The following is a 23,634-nucleotide window of genomic DNA, read 5'->3' on the forward strand; positions in this document are numbered from 1 at the left end:
GTGCCTTGGATTAAAGGCGTGAGCCACCAGCACCCAGCCAGGTATTGTAATTCTTTAAAAACACACATTTTCAACTACACAATTTTGTCATCTATTACTTCTAATAGTTCTTTTTGTAAACACATCTGTCCTTAGTTTTTCATTACCAAGTCAATTCACACTGTTTTTTTTGTTGTTGTTTTTTTTTTTTTTTTGAGACAGAGCTTTGCTCTTGTTGCCCAGGCTGGAGTGCAGTGGCGCGATCTCAGCTCACTGCAACCTCCACCTCCTGGGTTCAAGCAATTCTCCTGCCTCAGCCTCCCGAATAGTTGGGATTACAGGCACACGCCACCACGCCCAGCTAATTTTTTGTATTTTCAGTAGAGACAGAGTTTCACCATATTAGTCAGGCTGGTATCGAACTCCTGACCTCATGATCTGCCCTCCTCGGCCTCCCAAAGTGCTGGGATTACAGGCATGAGCCACTGCACCCAGCCAATTCACTCATGTTTTAGATCTTCCTGTGTTAACAGTAAAAGGATGATAAATATTCATTAATTCATATTTAAGTATTTAGCTTTAACATTTTATAGGTATGTGCTATATATGTTTTAAAGTGCTTTATTGTGACTATTAGCTTTTCACATAATTGAAAACATAACTCAATCATCACTTTATAGCTAGGATAACTGAACTAAGTGCAAGTATTGAGATTTTGGGTTTTTTAAAGTGAGGATTGCACTCAAAGGCCCCTAACTGATCTACTCTGACTAGCTAGCCCAAGGACAGATGTGATGCTATTTTGCTCAGCTTTTATTATAGATGGAAGATTCCCTGAAGCTGCAGAAAAACCTTTTAAGCATAAGTAAGCAGACTGCTGTGAGGGTTTTTTGATGTTACCATAAATCAAAAATGCACCACAGTGAGTGCAGTTGTTTACCATGATAACGACACAACACAAAATAGCCGTATAAAAATAAGTAGGAAATAGCAGCCTCACATTGCCCCTGACAACATAGTTGGAATCACTCATGATATCTCGAGCCAATCCAAAGTCACATATCTTCACCACTTTCCCGTGGGTGACAAGCACGTTCCTGGCGGCCAGGTCTCTGTGAACACACTGTCAAGAATGACACCAGAGTGTTATTTACTGTGATGTGTATTATCCTGGAGTGCAATCTTTCTTCTAGACTCAACTTCAGTAGGAGGTACCGGTGATGGAAGGCCTCTTATCTTTACTGGGCTGTGCCGTGAGCGGCCATGATGATGTGCAACAAACAAAGTGAATATAGGAGACCTAATTCTGCAGCTATGGTGGCTGCAGTTCTTTGTGCGGCTTCTGAAGCATCCCCAGAGGCCAAAGAGGAGCAGATCTTTTGCAGATTCCGAGCAAAAGTGAGAGGCTCCCCAACAGGGGCCCTCCCCTGAGCCTTCAGAGGGAATCTCAGAGCTGTCCTCCAGTACTCTTATTGTGGGTGTGAGAAATAGCATCTCTTTTCTTTTTTTTTTTTTTTTGAGACGGAGTTTCACTCTTGTTCCCCAGGCTGGAGTGCAATGGCGTGATCTCGGCTCACTGCAACCTCTGCGTCCCAGGTTCAAGCAATTCTCCTGCCTCAGCCTCCCGAGTTGCTGGGATTACAGGCACGCGCCACCAGGCCCAGCTAATTTTGTGTTTTTAGTAGAGACGGCGTTTCGCCATGTTGGTCAGGCTGGTCTCGAACTCCTGACCTCAGGTGATCCACCCACCTCGGCCTCCCAAAATGCTGGGATTGCAGGCGTGAGCCACCGCGCCTGGCCAGCATCTCTTTTCTGACTGGAAAATAGCTTTAGGAATAAATGGAGTAATATCGAGGGAAATAATCGGAAAAACAAAAAGCTAAAAATGAGTTTGGAGAGGTTTACTGAACTGGAATTAGAAGGAGTCCCTGAGCTGAAAGATGTCGTGATGTTAATCAAAGGGGTCTGACAAGAAAATGAACTTTACAAAGGAAGATCTGAAGGGGAACAGGGCACTAGTAGCAAAGGTCCAATGTACACTCTTTCATCTTTAAAAAATAAAAAGCAGCACCATGAACACTGGCAGCCCTGTGCCACAGCCCCTCTAGAGCTCCCTCCTCCATACCCAGTTTTTTCAGTGCCATCTACCTGCACTTTGCCCACTTTACCCCAGGTCTGCAACCTGCCTCCTCCTCCTGCCTGTCTGCCCAAGCTGCTCTGGCCGAGGCCTGCACTGACTGGCTTGGCACCCACACAGTCTCGATCTGACGGGACCTCCCTGTGGTGTCTGCTGCTGTTGGCCAGCCCCTCCCGCTTCTGGTCCTCCCTCTGGGAACCCTGCGCATGGTTCACTCCTGCTTTCTCCCCACTGCTCTGCCGGCTCCTGTCTCCCTCAGGGGCTTTGTGCACGAGCCTACTCTCACTCCTGAGGGCTGCATCCTCACAACCCACACCCTCACCCAAGCCATTTCATCCAAACCTAGGGATGCAACCACCATTGCCCACATCCCTATTTCCAACCCAAACATTTCTCTTGAGCTTCAGACAGGAGAAGTGTCCAAGTGTCTGCTAGACCACGCTCTACTTGGTTGCTCAAGGCACCTCACATTCAGTATGTCCAACTCATTACCTTTCTCCAAAAAAAACTCCTCCTGATTCCATGCTTCCTATCCTATCCCACATTCCCTGCTGGTTTTCCTTTTCCTTCAAAAATCTCCATTAGTCCAAGCATGAAGCACGCACTCCCTCAGAAAGCCTCTTCCACTGCATCTCCCCTTCCCCCAACCAGGTCTGCTGTGCAGATCCCTCCCCTGGGTTCCCAGAACTTACTTCAGTCACAACACTTATCATGCTACAGTGTTGTCTTTTTTAAACTTTTTAAAATTTTTTATTTTTATTTTTTGAGAAAGTCTCACTCTGTCACCCAGGCTGGAGTGCAGCGGTACAATCTCTGCTCACTGCAACCTCTGCCTCCCAATTCAAGCGATTCTCATGCCTCAGCCTCCTAAGTAGCTGGGATTATAGGCGTACACCACCGTGCCTGGCTGTTTTTCTATTCTTAGTAGAGATGGGGTTTTGCCATGTTGGCCAGGCTGGTCTTGAACTCTTGGCCTCAAGCAATCCACCGTCTCAACCTCCCAAAGTGCTGGGACTACAGGCCTGAGCCACCCACCCCCGGCCTCAGTGTCATCTTCGACTTGCATGTCTGCTTGTCTCTGTCTCCCCTATCATTCATAAGATCTTCGAGCCCAGGAGTCATATCATAACTGACTCTGTATCTCCAGCATCTAGTACAGTGCTTGGCATGTAGCTGGGGCTCAACAAATGTTTGATGAAGTCAAGGGCCTACAGAGGAAACTGAGGGGCACCCAGAGGAATATCAGGGAGGGGGTGAGAGACAAGAAGGGGACAGTGACACGCATGATTCAAAGGGGAGGCCTGATGTGAAGATAAAAGGATAGAAGGCCTAAGAAACTGGATGTTCTTCAAAAATTCATATTATTACAAGCCTGGGGTTGAAGGGGAAGCAGTGCCCCTTGACTGCCAGTTGGGAGTAGTTTGAGTATTTACTTAGCTATGGGCAGCAAACCAGGCCAGACAATCTAAGTAGGTGTTCTCCCACCTCTATAAAGATGTTCGTGGGCCAGGTACAGTGGCTCACGCCTGTAATCCCAGCACTTTGGGAAGCCGAGGCGGGCAAATCACTTGAGTCAGGAGTTTGAGACCAGTCTGACCAACATAGCAAAACCTTATCCCTACAAAAATACAAAAAAATTAGCCAGGTGTGGTGGTGCACACCTGTAACCCCAGCTACTTGGGAAGCCAAGGCAGGAGGATCGCTTGAACCTGGGAGGCAGAGGATGCAGTGAGCTGAGATCACACCCCTGCACTCCAGCCTGGGCAACAGAGCAAGACATTGTCTCAAAAACAAAAACAAAATGCTTGTGAAAGCAGGATTGTAGTTGTATAAGTGAAATAGAGAAAGACTCAGGTGGGCAAGATGCGCGAGCAAGAAGAATCCAAACAGCAGGTGGGGAAAATGAAGAGAAAAATGTGCCTCGCAGTTCAGAGGTGTGGAAATATTACTGTGACAGTAATTTTTTAAAACTTGTATTATTATTGCTTTTAAGCTTATTTCATTATTATTTTGAATAGACAGACTGGAGGGCAGTGCTATAGTCATAGCTCATTGCAGCCTGGAACTCTTGGGCTTCCCTCCAAAAGCACTGGGATTACAGACGTACACCACTGTGCCCAGCCTATTTATTTATTTTTAATTAATTTTTTTTTTTTTGAGACAGAGTCTCACTCTGTCGCCCAGGCTGGAGTGCAGTGGCGCCATCTTGGCTCACTGCAAGCTCCGCCTCCCAGGTTCATGCCATTCTCCTGCCTCAGCCTCCCAAGTAGCTGGGACTACAGGCGCCCGCCACCACACTCGGCTAATTTTTTTTGTATAGAGACGGGGTTTCACCGTGTTGGCCAGGATGGTCTCGATCTCCTGACCTCGTGATTCACCCACCTCGGCCTCCCAAAGTGTTGGGATTACAGGCGTGAGCTACCACGCCCGGCTGCCTATTTTTTATTTTTTAGAGAAAGAGACTTGCTCTGTCACCCAGGATGGAGTGCAGTGGTGCGATCCTAGCTCACTGCAGTTTCCAACTCCTGGGCTCAAGCAATCCTCCCACCTTGGCCTCCCAAGTAGCTGGAACTGCAGACACACACCATGAACATCTGGCTGAGGCAGTAATTTTTTAAAGAAAAAAGGCCGAGTGTGGTGGCTCACGCCTGTAATCCCAGCACTTTGGGAGGCTGAGGCAGGTGGATTGCTTGAGCTCAGGATTTCAAGACCAGCCTGGGCAACATGGTGAATTCCCATCTCTATTAAAATACAAAAAATTAGCCAGGCATGCTGGTATGCACCCGTGGTCCCAGCTACACGGAAGGCCGAGGCATGAGAATTGCTTGAACCCAGGAAGCAGAGGTTGTAGTGAGCCAAGATCACGCCACTGCACTCCAGCCTGGGCAACAGAGCGAGACTGTCTCCAAAAACAAAACAAAACAAAACAAAAAAATACAATTGAAAGTAGTCTTTCCAAATTCAGAGAGAAAACAGGAGAGAAGAGGCAAGGGGAAGGAAGTGGAGGAGAAGAGGAGGAGGAGATTAGAAGACTGCAAGAAAAATGAGGGGGAAGAATTTTGGGAAATAAAGAGAAGGTAATGAAAGGCAAGCAAACGAGGAAGGAAGGTAGCCAGAGAGTGGGCTATGATCTGCTTATAGGCAGGAGACATTTGAAATCACAGAGAACAGCGGGTGGAAAGGCAGTTCAAAAAGAGTGCAAAATTGGGGTAGAGACATGGTTCACGGCAGGCTCCAGGGCCTTACCAACGAATGGATCTGGGGTTAGCAACAGAGGAGGCAGTGAGCCTGCAGGACTGCTGCCAGCCCACAGCACGCAGGGTGAGAATTAGACAAAGACACTCAGGGTGGCTGGCTCGGTTTCAGCCTCCTCTCATCCCCTGGGTTGAATGCCCACATGCAGGGCACAACCTGAACAGCCGTTCTGAAAGGGACTGACAATGCTACGCTTTGTTTTGAGGAAGGATTTCTGAGGACTTCCTATCTCGACCTTCAGCCTTGGAAGTTTCAGGGGACTTTGTGCAGCCTGGGAGGGCTGTGCTAGCCGTGACCTCACAAGGGATCCCAGGCCTTTATGCTACTACAATTAGCCAAGAGCCAAGGTAACACGCTAGGTGACTCCAACAGTGAACAGGGGAGAAAAGGCAGACTTTAAGGGATACAAGTTAAAATAAACAAGAAAACATATATAAGCACATCTTTTCAAATCTTTTTTTTGGTTTGTTTTTTCTTTAAAAGGAGCATACCGACTTAAATTCCAGAAATTCCATTCCTTTGGCAACTTGATATGCAAAGCAAAGAAGATCTTCAAATGTAAGCACATTCAAGTCCTCCTCTTCTTCCAGCCTTTTTTGGTTTTCATATTCAATTTCATCTGTAAAATAGAGCCAGTCTTCACTTTTGCCAAAACTCTAAGAAGTTGCCTTATTAAATCTCTATGGGAAGGTTATTCAAGCCAGAGTTAGGTGAGGTGCTAAGACATGAAGCTATCGCATTATCTTCCCGGCAGCATTAGAGATGACCTGTTTATGCTGCCTATGAAGGGTCACTGGAGACTTGTTTTGGTTAGAGATAAACTTTGGAACTGCTTTGATGACCGATGACCTCCTGATTGATTAGTCAGGAGTTTTAGATACTTCTCTTTTGCACTAGGTAGGGCTGTCACAGTGGGAAAGGAATTAATATTAATTGTCTATCCCTTTTTTTTTTGAGAAGGAGTCTCGCTCTGTCGCCCAGGCTGGAGTGCAGTGACACGATCTTGGCCTGCTGCAACTGGATTCTCCTGCCTCAGCTTCCCGAGTAGCTGGGACTACAGGCTCATGCTAATTTTTTGTATTTTTAGTAGAGAAGGGTTTCACCGTGTTAGCCAGGATGGTCTTGATCTCCTGACCTCGTGATCCACCCACCTGAGCCTCCCAAAGTGGTGGGATTACAGGCATGAGCCACTGTGCCCGGCCCATCTATCCTATTTTATAAACTATATTGTGCATTTTATATTCTTCCATTTACTCCTTCCTTTTTTTTTCTTTCTTTCTTTTTTTTTTTTGAGTTGAAGTCTCACTCTGTTGCCCAGGTTGGAATGCAGTGGTGCAATCTCAGCTCACTGCAACCTCTGCCTCTTGGGTTCAAGCAATCCTCCTGCCTCAGCCTCCCAAGTAGCTGGGATTGCAGGCGTGCACCACCATACCCAGCTAATTTTTGTATTTTTAGTAGAGACAAGGTTTCTCCATGTTGGGCCAGGCTGGTCTTGAACTCCTGACCTCAGGTGACCTGCCTGCCTCGGCCTCCCAAGGCGTGATTACAGGCGTGAGCCACCACGGCCAGCCCCTCATTTACTCCTTCTAACAGTCCTGTGAGGAAGGTAGTGTTAGGCCTATTTTATAAACAAGAAAATTGTGATTCTGGTGGTCACATAACTTGTCCAAAGTCATCCAGTCAGAAAGCAAAGTAAGCAGAAGTTAATCCAAATTCTATGTAACTTCGGAACTCATTATCTCTTCCACTTGTCAGGTAATAAGATGGCTGTAATTAATATATGACTTTAAATGAATAATCTGACCAAATAAAATAGTCCTCAGTGTTTATTAGTTGAATGTTGACATAAAATCTACAGTATACAAACTGGCTTTTAGCTATCATCTGACAATTAGCAAATTTTAAAATGCTTTTGTGTTTACACACTTTTAAAAAATAGCTAACATAAAACTTTTGCATTCATTTCCATTTTAAAGTGCTACTACTTAGAATAAAATATTACCTTCAGAGTGAAATGAATTCCCATGAAGCCCTGAGATTTGATCCGAGTCCGGGTGTATCTGAACTTCTCTTGAACCAGGCATGCTATTAAAAAATTTTGTTTTTTCATTATTTACATTATTCTTCTCAGCAGACATTTTATTTTAAAAATGTAATTCATCAAATAAATGGATTCCAGTTATAAATTGACTTTTAAATTAAAAGCACACCATCCATTTGTCCATTTTTTGTGTACATTAAAAACATCTGTGTAACTGGGCTTGCCAGTCTAAGATAAAAGTAATCCCTGTTTTCCATATAGAATCTTACAGTTCAAAAAGGACCTCACTCAATCCTTGCCACAACCTATGAGATGGGTGGCATTTTATAAAAGAGAAATTAGGCACAGTGAGATAAATATGATTCGAGTGGAACCAGGACTCACATCGATCTCATTCTTTGGTTTCTGAACTCAGCCCACTTTCCCTCACATAATACAGATCTTCCCGAGAGTCCCGTAAGCGTTTCACCATCCTTCTTTTTTCCAGTTTGCCTTTGTAAAGCTCATTTCTTTTTACTGTGAAATTAATAAATAGCAATAATACAAATCTCTTTTAAGGTATATAAAAATTCTTCCCTGAGGAGCTCTGTAGGAATTATAAGTAGATCACGATTCAATTTATTCTAATATACGAGTTTAACCCAATTTACAATTTACATATCTTTAGGAAATGGCTTCATGCTTTCAGACCACAAATATTCCAAAAGGAATAATTTCAGTGTATTTAATATTCCAGTGAACAGAACGAATCAAAGGGGCTAAGTACTGACCAGTGGATACTGGTCACACACATCGGACTCAGTAGGATAGCCCCTCTGTTCCAGAATATGAGTGGCTTTATAGAGTTCTCATTTCTAGACGATGAGCTGGGAAATGAGTGTAAAGGAGAGGACGGTGTGACGGGCATGCATAGGTTAAGGGCAGCTGCACACGGACGTGCATGGGGATCTCCGTGGGGCCTGGTGGCTTTAAGACACTGGGTCTGTGTCTCAGACCTGGAAGGCCAGAGGCCTGCACTTAAAACTTACATTCTAAGAAAACAAAGCCGGGACTCTCAAATGTATCCCTAAAAAGCCCCTGGTAAAGAAAAAAGTCTCCAATAAACAAATACCCTTCAGAATAAGGGAGAACTTCCATACAGGGAGGGAAATAAGAACGCGCCAAGGCTCAGCCAGGTGCGGTGGCTCATGCCTATAATTCCAGCACTTTGCGGGGCCTAGGTGGGTGGATCAACTGAGGTCAGGAGTTCAACACCAGCCTGACCAACATGGTGAAACCCTGTCTCCACTAAAAATACAAAATTAGCTGGGCGTGGTGGCACATGCCTGTAATCTCAGCTACTCGGGAGGCTGAGGCAAGAGAATCGCTTGAACCTGGGATGTGGAGGTTGCAGTGAGCCGAGATCACACCATTGCACCACTCCAGCCTAGGCAACAGAGCGAAACTCTGTCTGAAAAAAAAAAAAAAAAAAAAAAGAATGCTCCAAGGCTCAACGAATGCCTCCATCAGAATGCCTGGGAATCCATTCAGAGAAAGGTGCTACAAAGCCATGATGCTCAAGTAATTAGCAAGAAAGTTCAAGGATGAGGAGGAGATCCAGCAAACTCCTACAGCCCTCATTTATGCCCGCTAAAGCAATAAATCCCTGCAGGACCAAGCATCTCTCAGGATCCCCATGGATGCGGAGGATAAACACAGAGCAGAGACAAGGTTACTGCTACTTTACTGTGTCCCCATCACGTGTCGATCAATCCATCCTAATATCTTAGAATCCAATTTGAGTTCAGCGTTCTTTTGCGCAATAGTCCCAGGACCCGAGCTGCTCTCTTTGCATATGTTAAGGACTTTGGAAAAAGTCTTCATTCTTTCTACCAATACCTGTGAGGCAACCAGGTGTCCTGAAAGACCGAATAATGCACCTTTCCCCAAACCAAATAGGCGTCTATGGTGTGATGCAGGCATGGGTGGAGAGAGACTAGCTCAGCTATAGTACCTGTACTGAAGGAAAGGGACAGGACTCGTTCCATGTCAACAGGGAAACTATAGCAAAGATTCAGGAAATCTCTAGGTTGCAGGACCCACAGACTTCACGGTGCCTTTAGAAACTGGTCAACGAAGTGTGTTTGAACAGCACACTTTGCCTACGTTCTATGATGTGTAATTACGAAACCCTGACCCAGCCTCTTACCTGGAATTTGGATGTGATTGGAAAGTGGGGTAAAAACTGAAATTGTGTTCCTTGAAAATCTCTGTCCAAGTCCTGTGAAATTTTTCTCTTTTACTTCTTAGATAGTTGAGAAGATCACCATAGCAACAGTATTCAAAAATCAAGTAAATTGGTCCTGAAATAGTTACAGTTTCAATTATAGGCATACACAAAGCAAACTGTTATTTCAGAAGTCTATGTAGCAGACAACATACTCTTAGGAGGGCTTGGTTCTCTGCTGACTTGGGGACAGTACAACTTTTTCTGAGCCTAGCTCTTCTTATACTTTAAATTCAGTTTCAGCTTTTGCTCAAATTTCTTTGGAAAGCAGCATCTTCTTGACATTCTCTGTGGCCCTTTTTTGTATGTGTGGCCTCACCAATACCACTGGCCTCCTGGATTCTCCAGTTGGCAACTGAAAGTAATGTTCTAGCTGTGTATTATAGGTGAACACTTGGTAACTATATGCTGATTTGCTGTTTGCTTGAGGAGGGAGAAATATATTCCCAGTCCTCTCTCAGATTCACTTTCCTCTTTTTCCTTTCTTTTAGTACCAGCCCCAGGCCTGCTGCTGCAGAAAGAATGAACCTTGGGCACATCATTTGGGTATTTCTAGGCAGAAGAGAGAAGATCAGAGGGCATGCCCCAGAGAATTCTGGGAAAGTAAAGTCTGATATCCTAGCTAGGCTGTGCCGTATTTGACGGCAGCCCAACTGGGGCAGTGGCCAGGCTCTGTAACCACTCTCACCACGCCTGTGCACCAGCTTCCAAGCTGGGAGAGAAGCACAGACACCACCAAATGTACTTGCAATGTTGTTGTTGTTGTTGTTTTTAAGCAGGTGAGAATTATGCAATATATCACGATAAAGCAGATGAATGAGGCATTCTTTATTTTGACCCCTCTGATTTATAGAGTGCTCAGTGTCTAATTCCACTTGGGTTTGAGAGTTCACACTGTGACTGAGAAAAGACAAAGAATTAAAAAGAGAGAGAGAGAGAGAGAGAGCAAACATCCTCTTTGTCATCAAGCTACAGTCTTTTTGATGAGGTGATTTTCGTGGAAGTGGGTTACCTGACAGTGTGCACGCCCCCAGCAGGTTCACAATATTCTCGTGGCTTCCCAGCTGGGTCATCATCTTGAGTTCTGACATGAGTGCCTCTCTTTCAGAGCTGTCTGCTTTTTCTGTCAAAGAAAGGAGCATTAAAAATGTAAAACTCAAGTAAAATACGAATTTTATGTCATTAAATAAAATTTTTCTCAGCTCAGAGTCAATCTGCATTATTTATTTAAATTCAAAATTATGAGAGAAGCCAGGCATGGTGGGTCATGCCTGTAATCCCAGCACTTTGGGAGGCCGAGGTGGGTGGATCACTTGAGGTCAGAAGTTCAAGACTGGCCTGGCCAATATGGTGAAACCTCGTCTCTACTAAAAATACAAAAATTAGCCAGGCGTGGTGGCAGGCACCTGTAATCCCAGCTACTTGGGAGGATGAGGCAGGAGAATCGCTTGAATGTGGGAGGCAGAGGTTGCAATTAGCTGAGACTGCACCATTGCACTCCAGCCTGGGCAACAAGAGTGAAACTCCATCTTAAAATAAATAAATAAATAAACAAACAAACAATATCCTGTGTTTTAAGACAGAATTTCTCCTTTTTCTTTTTTTTTTTTCCTTTTCTTTCTTTCTTTTTTTTTGACACAGTATCTCACTCTGTCACCCAGGCTGGAGTGTAGTGACATGATCTCAGCTTACTGTAGCCTCTGCCTCCTGGGCTCAAGTGATCCTCCTACCTCAGCCCTCCAAGTTACTGGTACTACAAGCACAGGCCATCATGCCCAGCTAATTTTTATATTTTTTGTAGAGATGGGGTCTCACCATGTTGCCCAGGCTGGTCTTGAACTCCTAGATTCAAGCAATCCTCCCAACTCCGCCTCCCAAAGTGCTGGGAATACAGGCATGAGCCACCATGCCCAGCCTAAGGCAGAATTCAGACTGTAGTATAGGGCTGGGCGCAGTGGCTCACACCTGTAATCCCAACACTTTGGGAGGCCAAGGCGGGTGGATCACTTAAGGTCAGGAGTTGAAGACCAACCTGGCCAACATGGTGAAACCCTGTCTCTACTAAACATACAAAAAATTAGCCGGGCGTGCCGGTGCGTACCTGTAATTCCAGCTACTCAGGAGGATGAGGCAAAAGAATCCCTTGAACTGGGGAGGCAGAGGTTGCAGTGAGCCGAGATTGAGCCCCTGCACCACTCCAGCCTGGGTGACAGAGCGAGACTCTGTCTCAAAAACAAAACAAAACAAAACAAAACAAAGACTATAGTATAAATGTTGAATCTGGTAATGCACCTTTCAACAGGACTTTCCTCTACCTACCAAAATAAAAATCCTTACAGTTGGCCCTCAAAACAAACAAACAAAATAATAACACATGCTTTTCCTCCTCAGTACAAGTTAACAGAAGGGAGAAACGTCCTTTTTGTTTGTTTGTTTGAACTCTTGGATCTGTTGTAGTCAGAGAGAGATAACAGTGTCGTGAGCATGGTTGACTCTAGCCTGTGGCCCTCAGGTCTAGAACATTAGATTTGCCAGCAAGTCCAATGGGAGAAGGTCAAAGAGGACTAATTCCCACTATCAGGTGCTCAAGAGACCCATTAATTGACATTGAGAAATAAAACTGCCAAGCAGGCTAGAACATATTGGTTGGCCAATGCATTCTCTCTCTAGGGAAAATTCCAGATAGCTCAGCAAACTGTACTTATAAGCTGACTTAGAAGCACAGTGTGAGGAAAGTCACTATGGAATCCAAGGGCTCCCGTCATTGCGGCTCATGTGCAGTTGGTCAGGGCAGCCCGGGCAGCCACAGGGGCAAGGGCAGGGTCTCTGGACTTCCCTCTCCAGGCTCCAGGCACCACCCCTCTGTGAACAGACTTTTTCTTCCAGATATAGTAACTCTTCTTTACATTCAGTGAAGATTTGGTTCGATTGCCAGGTTCCATTATTTTGTCCAGGAAGGCATCCTAACCTTTATAGTGGCTTCTCCGGTGCTGACATCCTCTATTTTGGTTTGGGCAAGCTCTCAGGGGTATCCTTGTTTCCAAGATTTTAGCTTGGGGGTGGGATTTCCTGTGGGCACTGGGACCCCCTAATACATCATGTCTTCAGCTTCACGCTGGACAGGGATTCGGGGCTTTACTTGTTCATGTCCTATTCCTCATGGCTAAAATAATATCTTACATTTTTTAGCATGCTTAGCTTCTTCTAAGCATTTTCATGTACCATTACCTCTTTCATTCAGTCATTCAACAAGTATTTATTGAGTGCCTACTCTGTAAGAGCCAATGTCCTAGACACTGGGGAATGAAGGAAAAACAAGACACAACCCTTGTCTTCCTGGATCTTAGAGTCTCCTGGAGAAGGCAGAGAAGTAAATAAGCCATGACAATACAGTGCCATAAATGCAATACGGCAGGCAAGACGTGGGTCCCCGCGCCTCTAATCCCAACATCTTGGGAGGCTGAGACAAGCGGGAGAATTGCTGGTACCCAGAAGTTCAAGAAAGGCCCGGGCAAAATAGCAAGAGCTTGTCTCTACTTAAAAATAAAATAAAGTAAAAATACATAAATAAATAAAATAAAATAAAATAAAAATTAGCTGGGCTTGGTGGTGCCTGCATGTAGTTCCAGTTACTGGAAAGGCTGCAGACCATCACTTGAGCCCAGGACTTGAAGCTTGCCGTGAGCTATGATGACTTCACTGCACTCCAGCCTGGGTGACAGAGTGAGACCCTATCTCAAAAAAAGAAAAAAGAAAGAAAAAGAAAAAATGCAACGTTGGGCTGGGCACGGTGGCTCATGCCTGTAATCCCAGCACTTTGGGAGGCTGAGACAGGCGGATCACGAGGTCAGGAGATCAAGACCATCCTGGCTAACACGGTGAAACTCTGTCTCTACTAAAAATACAAAAAAATTTAGCCGGGCGTGGTGGTGGGTGCCTGTAGTCCCAGCTGCTAGGGAGGCTGAGGCAGGAGAATGGCGTGAACCCAGGAGGCGGAGCTTACAGTGAGCTGAGATGGTGCCACTGCACTCCAGCCTGGGCGACAGAGTGAGACTCCGTCTCAAAAAAAGAAGAAAAAATGCAACGTGGCAAAGGAGTGCAGGGGTACTGTAGGGTCAAAAGGGATAGCTACCTTAGCCTTGGAGGGGTGGAGAAAGGAGCATTCAATGTCTAAACTGAGTCCTGAAGAAAAATGGGAGCTGGCCAGGTGACTCATGGTGGAAGGGGAGGAGAACAGTGCTGAGGGTTGTGAAAGAGTGGGCAAAGGTCGAGAAAGGAGAGAGCACAGCACCACAGACACAGACCCTGCCCTCATGAGGCACAGGGGCTACTGGACAGATGGGACAACAATTGGATGTTAAAAAATGTCATGACAAAGGTGATGGATTCTACGGGGGAAAGCCTGCAGAGAGCTAATGTCGCACATTGCAAGGGCCTCAATATTGTCTGTGGTGTGAGACAGAGGAAGTGGTGTTTAAGCTGAGATCTGAGGGGGCAGTGGGAGATACTTACATGAAAGGGGAAGGGGAAGCAGAAGGATCCACTTGTGCAAAGGCCCCACAGTGGGTGGGAGGACAGTGCTGGGGGAACTGAAAGAAGGCCAGCGCTCTGGGGTGCCGAGAGCAAGAGGTGGGGAGGCAGCGGTGGCCCAGCCATGCGGGTGGTGGAGGAAATGTGAAGTAGGAAAGCCATTTGATCTGCTTAGCCTTTCGCCACTGTCACTTGGACCTCAGTATGGAGAAGCCAAAGGGAGGCAAGAGTGGATACAGGAACCTGCTTTGGAAGCTTTTGTCCAGGAGAGAGCCTTGAACTAGAGTGGTGGTCATAGAGATGGAGGGACGAGGATGGAATCAAGAGACACTAATCGGAAACCTGATAGGATTAGCTCACAGGGTGTTAGAAAGAGGAAGGTGTCAAGGAAAAGTCACGGGTTTCTAGTGTGCCCAACTATATAGAATGTGGTTATTTATTCACTGGCATTCATTACCAGTCACAGAGAGGACTGCTGGTGCAGGGCCAGGGTTAGGGGAATTCACCTTGCATACACTGTGTTAAAGGGACCTTTGAGACATCCAAACATTTAACATATGAACCTGAAGCTCCGAAAGGAGACGCAAGCATGAGGGCCCTTGGTGTATGGGAGGACATCACGGGTGTAGTGGGGATGGACTGTGTTGAGTGTGTGGAGCGAAAACGCAAGGCGGTCCAGGAGCAAGCCCACAGGGATGCCCCATAAAAAGCTGGATGGAGCCTGGGCAACATGGCGAAGCCCCATCTCTACCAAAAATACAAAAATTAGCCAGGCATGGTGGCGCATGCCTGTAGTCCCCCCTACTCAGGGGCCTGAAGTGGGAGGATGGCTTGAGCCTGGGAAGTGGAGGTTGCAGTGAGCTGAGATCACACCACTGCACTCCAGCCTGGGCAACAGAGCAAGGCTGTGTTTCAAAATCAGCCACAACAACAAAAGCTGGATGGAAGAAGATGAGCCCACAAAGGACTGAGTTTCAAAATCAGCCACAACAACAAAAGCTGGATGGAAGAAGATGAGCCCACAAAGGACTGAGAAGGGCAGAGGGGTGGGAGGAAAACCAGAATATGGTGACACAAAACCCAAAGAAAGAAAGCTTCTGGATGGAGAGAAGAATCAACAGCATCAATTCATGCTGAACAATCAAGTAATGAGGACTGAAAAATATCCATTAGGCTTGGTTTGGTTTGAAGTCACTGTTGACCTTAGCAAGAGAGCCAGCTGGAGATGCTTTTGCTGGGTCAGCGGTGGTAACGGTGAGGCCAGCAATGGGGCTGGACGCCAGATCGGAATGGATGGAGCAACGAAGTGAGGATACAAAGGGCCCCAGTTTTCTCTCCTACCCAGAGTCTGTTTCAACCCACACCTGTAATCCCAGCACTTTAGGAGGCCAAGGCAGCCTCACTTGAGCCAGGAGTTTGCAACCATCCTGGGCAATATGGTGAGACACCGTATCTACAAAAAAAAAAAAAAATTAGCCAATTGTCTTGGCACACTCCTGTGAGGCTGAGGTGAGAGCATTGCTAGAGCCAAGGAGGTCGAGGCTGCAGTGAGCTATGATCACAGCACTCTAGCCTGGGTAACAGAGCAAGATCCTGTCTCTAAAAATAAAACAACACAAATGTAAGAAAGAACTTCTGCCTGTGGCAACTGTATCCCCAAATATCAAAGCCTATAAAAACTAAATAGGCCTGGCACAGTGGCTCACGCCTGTAATCCCAACACTTTGGGAGGCCGAGGCGGGCAGATAGTTTGAGCTCAGGAGTCCCAGATCAGCCTAGGCAACATGGTGAAACCCCGTCTCTACCAAAAATAAAAAACTTAGCTGAGCGTGGTGGTGCACGCCTGTAGCCCCAGCTGCTGAGGAGCCTGAGCCCAGGGGGTGGAGGCTGCAGTGAGCCATGATCACACTACTGTACTCCAGCCTAGGTGACAGAGTGAGACCCTGTCTCAAAAAAATAAAAGAAAATAAAAATAAACAAAGAGAGAAGTGGAAGAAGAGGTGGAGTTTTGTATTTATGACTTGAATTTTGTATTCATGACTGGGTTGACACCCCAATCCACTCCATTTTTAGCCTTGAAACATGGCAAACAGTAACCATTAAAAGGATGGAAAAGAGAAGAAGGCATGGGTGGGAAACTGTGCCTCCCATTTTTGTGCATCTTTGTTGCTGTCCTTCCACTATACTGTACCTTTCAGCATTTTGACGGCAACCTGGATTGAGACTCCTGTTTTGCTAATTCCATAAGCTGTTGCGTTCATCACTTTTCCAAAAGCACCTGATCCTAGTACCTTCCCTGCAAAGACAAATGGTGAGTACGTGCATTTTAAAGATTTTCCAATGGAAAAGAAATGCTGCAGAAACATTTGGCACATTCCATTCTTACCAAACTCTAAATTTTCTCTTGGAAACTCCCATTTGAGATCATATTCATATTCTCTGAAATCAACGTAGAAGTACTCATTATCTGAGGAGCCGGTCACCTGTACCATCTGTAGCTGGCTTTCATACCTAAATTGCTTCAGAGATGAAATGATGAGTCAGTTAGGAATAGGCAGTTCTGCAGATAGAGGAAAGAATAATGAATTTTTACCTTTGCTTTTACCTTTTTGTACTTGTGACAAATTAGCAGGGTTAAAACGACAATGAAGAGGAGACAAACACCAATTGTTGCATAGAATGAGATGTTGTCTTGGATGAAAGGGAAGGGGCCTGCAACAAAAGAGTGTCACTCAGCGATGAAACAGAATTCCTGTGTGACATTATAAATAGTGGACAACTCATTATAATCTCTCACATCCTGTTTCAGTAATAATCATTTTCAGTCCTAACAACCACTCTACATATACTCTACTCCCCACAGACAATCAGGCAATGTCCCTGTAAAGGATACATTTCCTCCCTAGAAAATTGCGGATTATTCTCAATCCATTCTTTAAAACCATTTACTAGGGTAAATTTACAAGAATTACATCTGGTCCAGGCACGATGGCTCACGCCTGTAGTCCCAGCACTTTGGGAGGCCAAGATGGGAGGATCACTTGAGTCCAAGAATTAGACACCAGCCCAGGCAACACAGTGAAATCCCGTCTCTAAAAAAATTCAAAAATTAGCTGGGCGTGGTGGCAGGTGCCTGTAATCCCAGCTGCTCGGGAGGCTGAGGCAGGAGAATCGCTTGAACCCTGGCAGAGGTGAGCCAAGATCACGCCACTGCACTGCAGCCTGGGTGACAGAGCGAGTCTCCATCTCAAAAAAAAAAATGCATGGATTTAAACCTACAGGATGTACAAGTCAGAGAAAAAAGAAGTTCATATCCCTTTTATGAAGGTCGCACATGAAAGTGGAGAAGTCAGTTTTGTGAGGTTGGTGATCCTAACTACTAGGGTGGGCAGCCAGGTTTCACAACTGTTTAACTTAGGAGGGCTCTAAAAAGCAAACCAAAAATTATAAAACAGCAAGCTGAGGGCAAATAAGGAGGCTAATCAAAAGGGAAAATGACAGAGACTCCAAGTGACAAAATCTGTTTCTCTAGAGTTAGATCTTTCCATGGAGATTCACCACACTGGGAGTTTCTGCTTCTCCCGGTCACTGTGACACATGAGTCACAAGGGCACAGGGAGGACTCCGCCCCAACCTGTGAAACAGTCTCTCTGGGGATTCTTGCCTGACTCAAGAAACCTTTTCTCACACACTGACCCTATACTCTCCTGTAAAATTCCCCAAGTAAAAGTCAGCGATGGGGACTAACTTCTAGTGGGGAATTCCTGATGGTGGAATATCACAAGAACAACTGTTGTACCTGGAGAGTTTAAAAGGATCGTCTCACAAGATGTGCCAAGGGAATTGTATGCACAGCACTTGACCAGGAACCCTTTTATGGCTTCACTCATGTTTAGAGTACTGCTCGACACCCACTGTCCAAACACTTTTCTGTTAGCCTTTCTATTCCAGACTCCTTCTGTGATCTCTTCTGTGCAGCTGAAAAAAAAAATAGCAAAGAATTTAGACAGGTGAGCTGTCATCAGATTGGAAGTTAGGATTTCTGCAGCGAGTTCTAAAAGAGATTCATCCAGTATAAGTTATCAGAAACAGTCTATGACTATTGAGAGTTATGGTTGATTGAGAAGGTTAGCATTTTAAATATTTCATCATTTCCTCTTAAACTGTATTCATGAAAGAGTCAATAGGTCAGAGAGTTTTATGTTCTTCCATTATAAGAGGCATCAATGTCCTTATTACTTGGGAGACTTGTCTGAACACTTCTTCCAGGTCCAAGATGGTAATGGGTATCCATCCGAGAAACAGGACGCCTGACTTGCCGATGCTTCTGCGAGCACTTGAGGTTTCCCTATAGAAAAGAACGTGTGAAATAAGCTCACTGGCTGGGCATAGTGGTTCACTCCTATAATACCAATACTTTGTGAAGCCAAGGTGGGAGGATCACTTGGGCCAAGGAGTTCAAGACCAGCCTGGGCAACACAGCAAGACCCTGTCTCTGAAAATAATAAAATAAAATAAGCTCTTGGAGTATGGTACTTTCTGGAAATAGTTTCAAAGTTGCCTACAGTACAGGCTACCCATTTACTCCAGGGCAGTTTGTGCTTCTGGGAGGATTTCTCATTTAGGATGCCTCCAGACCTCTGGTAATTTCTTCTTTCCTCCTTGCCATGCAACCTCCTTGCCATGCAACCTCTCTGCTACACACCATTTTTCCATTGCCAGCCTCTCCCTGGAGAGAGCTGAGGTACAGACCTCCACCTGTTTGCATGCCTTAAAATGATTCTTAGCTTCAGGAGAAGTTGGACTTCTCATTGTTTTATAAGCCAAAGAAATGAAAATTATTAAAAACAAATAAATGAGAGATAAAATGACTTTCAGCCTTTCCTTAACATGACCTTTCAAAATACTAAAATCAATAAAGTCATAACACTAATTCATATTCAGAGACAATGTGAAATAAGTCTTTCAGCTTCTGATGATACACACAGAAAGAGATATATGGCCAGGTGCAGTGGCTCTCGCCTGTAATCCTAGCACTTTGGGAGGCCAAGGTATGAGGATCCCTTAAGGCCAGGAGTTTGAGACCAACCTGGGCAACAAAGGGAGGCCCCCTCTCTACAAAAATGGTTTTAAAATTAGCTGAGCATGGTGGCGCGTGCCTGTAGTCCCAGCTACTCGGGAGGCTTAGGAGGATCACTTGAGCCCAGGAGTTTGAAGCTACAGGGATCTATGATTGTGCCATGGCACCCCAGCCTGCGTGGTAGAGTGAGACCTGGTCTTAAAAATGAAACAGAACAAAATAACATAAAAAATAAAAAGATATATGATCAATGCCAGTAGATATGAGAGTAAAGTTTCAAAACACTTCAGCGTACAAAAACAGTTTTGTAGTAGCCCTTCTAAGCCATTACTTAACTTTTCCTAGTTAAGACTAATAAAAAATTAAGGAATTAAAAAATAAAAATCAAATTCTCGGCAATTTAACTTACTTCTTATATTCAGCGTGAACATTTTGGTAAATTGGGCATCATCATTTTCTGCATGGAATATATATTCTCCTGGCTGGTGCTTATGATTGCAAAACTTGGATATGCTGTTTGAAAAAGAATTAAAGACAGATTTAGCCCAATTGCTACAGGAGATGCTGCAACTAATGACAGTGTGCATGGGAGGTGTCTTCCTTGAAATGCTCCTCACTTGCTAAAGTTCACTGGAAAAGGAAATGTCCATATTGTAGACCCTTGCTACTCAAAGTGTGGTCCACAGACAGGCAGCATCAACATCGCCATTGGTATCATCTGGGAGCTTGTTACAATTGCAAGATTTCAGGTCCCTTCCAAATCACTGACTCAGAATCTGCATTTTAAGATGATCACCATGTGAGTCATATGCCCATTGGGAGTTGGGATTGGCCGAAGATTCTCAGTGAGACCAGGAAGTTCCTGCCCCTCTTGCTCTGGATAGTCTAACTTCTCAGAACTTGTGCAGGTGGAGAAGCCTGTAGTTCAGAGGTCCCCAGCCCCCCAGCCTCTAGACTGGTAACTGTCCATGGCCTATTAGGAAAGGGGCCACACAGCAGGAAGTGAGCAGCAGGCAAGAGAGCTTTACCGCTTCCTGTCAGATCAGCAGAGGGATTAGATTCCCACAGGAGCGGAAACCCCACTGTGAATTGCACACGCCAGGGATCTAGGTTGTGCGTTCCTTAAGAGAATCTAATCCCCGATGATCTGAGATAGAACAGTTTCATCCCGAAACCATCCCCCTACCCCCAATCTATGGAAAAATTGTCTTCCACAAAATGGATCCTTGGTGCCAAAAACGTTGGGGACTGCTGCTGTAGCTGCCCTGCTTCCTGAAATGACAGTCCAAGGCAGGACCTATGACCAACCCTTGACTTACATAGCAATGAACAACGATGAGGGCTCAAATCCACTGAGCTTGTGCAGAAACCTCTGAGTGCTCTCAGCAGGCTCTAGTGCCTACTTGGAGCACTCATCAACCACTCAATATTTTGACACAGATAACCTGATCTTGGGGACTGTCCACCACGCCCAGCAGGCCTGTGGGTTGCTGGATACTGCAGTGAGATGTTGGATGGTGCAGGAGAGGCAGGGCAGCAATGAGTTGTTGAATATGCCTTCGTGCACTCACAGTAACAAAATTGGAGAAAAAGAAAAAAATTCCCTTAAAACAGAAAAAGAAATCTAAGGCTTGTACCGAAGATATCTAACTCGACCTCCACATAGCCTACTGAAAGTTTTTTTTTTTTTTTCTTGAGACAGAGTCTCGCTCTGTCTCCCAGGCTGGAGTGCAGTGGCGCTATCTCGGCTCACTGCAAGCTCTGCCTCCCGGGTTCCCACCACTCTCCTGCCTCAGCCTCCGGAGTAGCTGGGACTACAGGCTCCTGCCACCACGCCCGGCTAATTTTTTATATTTTTTAGTAGAGACAGGGGTTCACCGTGTTAGCCAGGATGGTCTCGATCTCCTGACCTTGTGATCTGCCTGCCTCAGACTCCCAAAGCGCTGGGATTACATGCATGAGCCACTGCGCCCAGCCTAGCCTACTTAAAGTTTAAAAAACAAAAAGACCCTGCCTGGCAGGTTAGGAAGGTGAGTCAGAGTGGACGCAGCTTTAGATGAGGAGTGTGGAGGATGCAAAAGACCTAAAAAGTAGGTAGCTCCTATCTTCAAAGATACCTAAACCGGGTGGATAGACAGGACCCATACAAGTGGAATCATTAAAGCATTAAACTGAAGTCCAGCAGATGATCAAAGAAGGCAGAGGTCTGTGTCGGTGGGAAAGGTTCGGGGCCTTCATAGAGGAGGTAGAGCTCGAGCTGGAGCCTCACGGATGAGTTGGTTTTGATGAGAGGACAAAAGAAAAGGCATCCAAGGAGGAGACAAAGCAGCGACTGAAGGCGCCAGACGGGAAGTCATAGGGCTGCAGTGAGGAGGAACGGCAAGCCTCTCATGGGAGCAGAATATCATGAACAGTATTGTATTTACTTACTTTATTTATTTATTGATATGGAGTCTCACTCTGTCACCCAGGTTGGAGTGCAGTGGCACTATCTCGGCTTATTGCAACCTCTGCCTCCCAGGTTCAAGCGATTCTCCTGCCTCAGCCTCCTGAGTAGCTGAGATTACAGGTGCCCGCCACCACGCCCGGCTAATTTTTTGTATTTTTAGTAGAGATGGGGTTTCACCATGTTGGCCAGGATGATCTTGATCTCTTGACCTAGTGATCCACCCACCTCAGCCTCCCAAAGTGCCGGGATGAATTACGCATTTTAAAAATACAAATTACTTATTTTCTACAACAATGCTTACTGCCCTGAGCATTGCAATAAAACTTTTTTTTTTTTTTTTTTGAGATGGAGTCTCACTCTGTCGCCCAGGCTGGAGTTCAGTGGCGTGATCTTGGCTCACTGCAACCTCTGCCTCCTGGGTTCAAGCAATTCTCCTGCCTCAGCCTCCCAAGTAGCTGGGATTACAGGCACACGCCACCACAGCCAGCTAATTTTTATATTTTTCATAGAGACAGGGTTCACCATGTTGGCCAGACTCGTCTTGAATTCCTGACCTCATGTGATCCTCTCTCCTTGGCCTCCAAAAGTGCTGGGATTACAGGCATGAGCCACTGCACCTAGCCTTAATTTTATTTTATGTAATTTTTCTGTACAGATGGGGTCTCACTATGTTGCCCAGGCTGGTCTCAAACTCCTGCCCTCAAGCCATCCTCCCCACCTCGGCCTCCCAAAGTGCTGGGATAACAGGTATGAGTCAGGGTGGCTTGGCCTATGAAGAGTGTTTTATATGCACCTGCTGATGGCAGCAAAAGTTTACTGGAAGTTTAAAGGCAGTTGTAGCAATCCAAGAACTCGTTCATTCATTCCTTCATTCAACTGTCAATGTTAGAACCTGTTTGTGACGGAAATTGAGGACACAACAGCAAATTCAAAAAATTGGGTTTCTGTTCTCACAGAATTTACAATTTGGTGGTGAAGGTAGAGGGGTAATAAGCAGTTGGAGTGTGGGAAGTTTCTGTGATAGGAGAAGTAAAAGTTCAGATTTGAGGTTTCGGAGCATGACAAGGGGAGCGTTGTTTAATGGAGGAGAATGGGAAAGGAGAGAAAAGAGCAAACCCTAGAGGCACCAGAAAAAAAGAAATGGCAGGGGCTAGATTGGATACAGAAGATAAAGGGGAGAAGAGAATCCCAGTTGGTCCCCAAGACTCAAAACACACCTGTAATCCCAACACTTTGGGAGGCTGAGATGGGTGGACTGCTTGAGGCCAGAAGTTTGAGACCAGCCTTGGCAATCTACTGAGATCCCATCTCTACAAAAAAAATCCACAAAACGCCACTGCGTAATTGCAGCTTTTGAGCCCACGTTTGTGTGACACCAATGTTCTGTGCCCTGAACTCGTAAGCCAAGGTAATTCTGACTGTGTATTGTGAACAAGAGAATTCATCTCTCTGACCTATCAAAAGTTTCAGGCAGTTAAAAGTTGACCTTTGGGTGCGTGCAGGGGTTCACATCTGTAATCCCAGCACTCTGAGAGGCCGAGGAGGGTGCAATACTTGAGCCCAGGAGTTTGAGATCGGCCTGGGCAACATGGCAAGACCTTGTCTCTACAGAATTTTTTTTTTTAATTAGCTGGGTGCGATGGCACACACCTGTGGTCCCAGCTACTTGGGAGGCCGAGGTAGGGGAATTGCTGGAGCCACTATACTCCAGCCTAGGCAGCAGAGCAAGACCCGGACTCAAAAAAAAAAAAAAAAATGCTGAGCATTGAATAAGGTGTTTAACCTTCTTTTGCTTTGTTAACAAGAAGGCTGAAGAAGTCAAAAAGGGGAATTTCTTATCCTGACCTATTTCTGGACAACAAGGAGGAAATCACTGGTGAAGTGGAAACAATAGAAA

At 45.5% G+C, this 23,634-nt stretch overlaps 1 protein-coding gene across 7 annotated transcripts in view, besides 2 other annotated features; it reads right to left on the minus strand.

Moving 5' to 3' along the window:
- FLT3 (fms related receptor tyrosine kinase 3) overlaps nucleotides 1-23,634 on the minus strand; it is a 97,303-nt gene that overhangs the window by 14,214 nt on the left and 59,455 nt on the right. For 6 of the 7 annotated variants that reach the window (XM_017020486.2, NM_004119.3, XM_011535015.3 and 3 more), the window contains 11 exons: nucleotides 19,698-19,801; nucleotides 18,448-18,556; nucleotides 18,008-18,186; nucleotides 16,814-16,920; nucleotides 16,595-16,727; nucleotides 16,400-16,504; nucleotides 10,691-10,801; nucleotides 9,601-9,754; nucleotides 7,374-7,456; nucleotides 5,863-5,990; nucleotides 980-1,102 (listed from right to left, as the gene is read on the minus strand). In XM_017020486.2, the coding sequence (XP_016875975.1) occupies nucleotides 980-1,102; nucleotides 5,863-5,990; nucleotides 7,374-7,456; nucleotides 9,601-9,754; nucleotides 10,691-10,801; nucleotides 16,400-16,504; nucleotides 16,595-16,727; nucleotides 16,814-16,920; nucleotides 18,008-18,186; nucleotides 18,448-18,556; nucleotides 19,698-19,801 (1,336 nt within the window). Of the gene's footprint in view, nucleotides 1-979; nucleotides 1,103-5,862; nucleotides 5,991-7,373; nucleotides 7,457-7,796; nucleotides 7,929-9,600; nucleotides 9,755-10,690; nucleotides 10,802-16,399; nucleotides 16,505-16,594; nucleotides 16,728-16,813; nucleotides 16,921-18,007; nucleotides 18,187-18,447; nucleotides 18,557-19,697; nucleotides 19,802-23,634 lie in introns of all 7 variants that reach the window. The other variant, NR_130706.2, reaches the window with a different exon arrangement.
- Nucleotides 4,918-5,451: an enhancer, noted in NCBI's record as "H3K27ac-H3K4me1 hESC enhancer chr13:28596542-28597075 (GRCh37/hg19 assembly coordinates)". NCBI's record gives its function as "activates a minimal SCP1, AML or CMV promoter by ChIP-STARR-seq in primed H9 embryonic stem cells {active_cell/tissue: H9 hESC(primed)}" and the evidence as "EXISTENCE:reporter gene assay evidence [ECO:0000049][PMID:30033119]".
- Nucleotides 5,452-5,984: an enhancer, noted in NCBI's record as "H3K27ac-H3K4me1 hESC enhancer chr13:28597076-28597608 (GRCh37/hg19 assembly coordinates)". NCBI's record gives its function as "activates a minimal SCP1, AML or CMV promoter by ChIP-STARR-seq in primed H9 embryonic stem cells {active_cell/tissue: H9 hESC(primed)}" and the evidence as "EXISTENCE:reporter gene assay evidence [ECO:0000049][PMID:30033119]".

This window comes from Homo sapiens, chromosome 13, assembly GCF_000001405.40.
Source record: "Homo sapiens chromosome 13, GRCh38.p14 Primary Assembly".
NCBI classification, from domain to species: domain Eukaryota; kingdom Metazoa; phylum Chordata; class Mammalia; order Primates; family Hominidae; genus Homo; species Homo sapiens.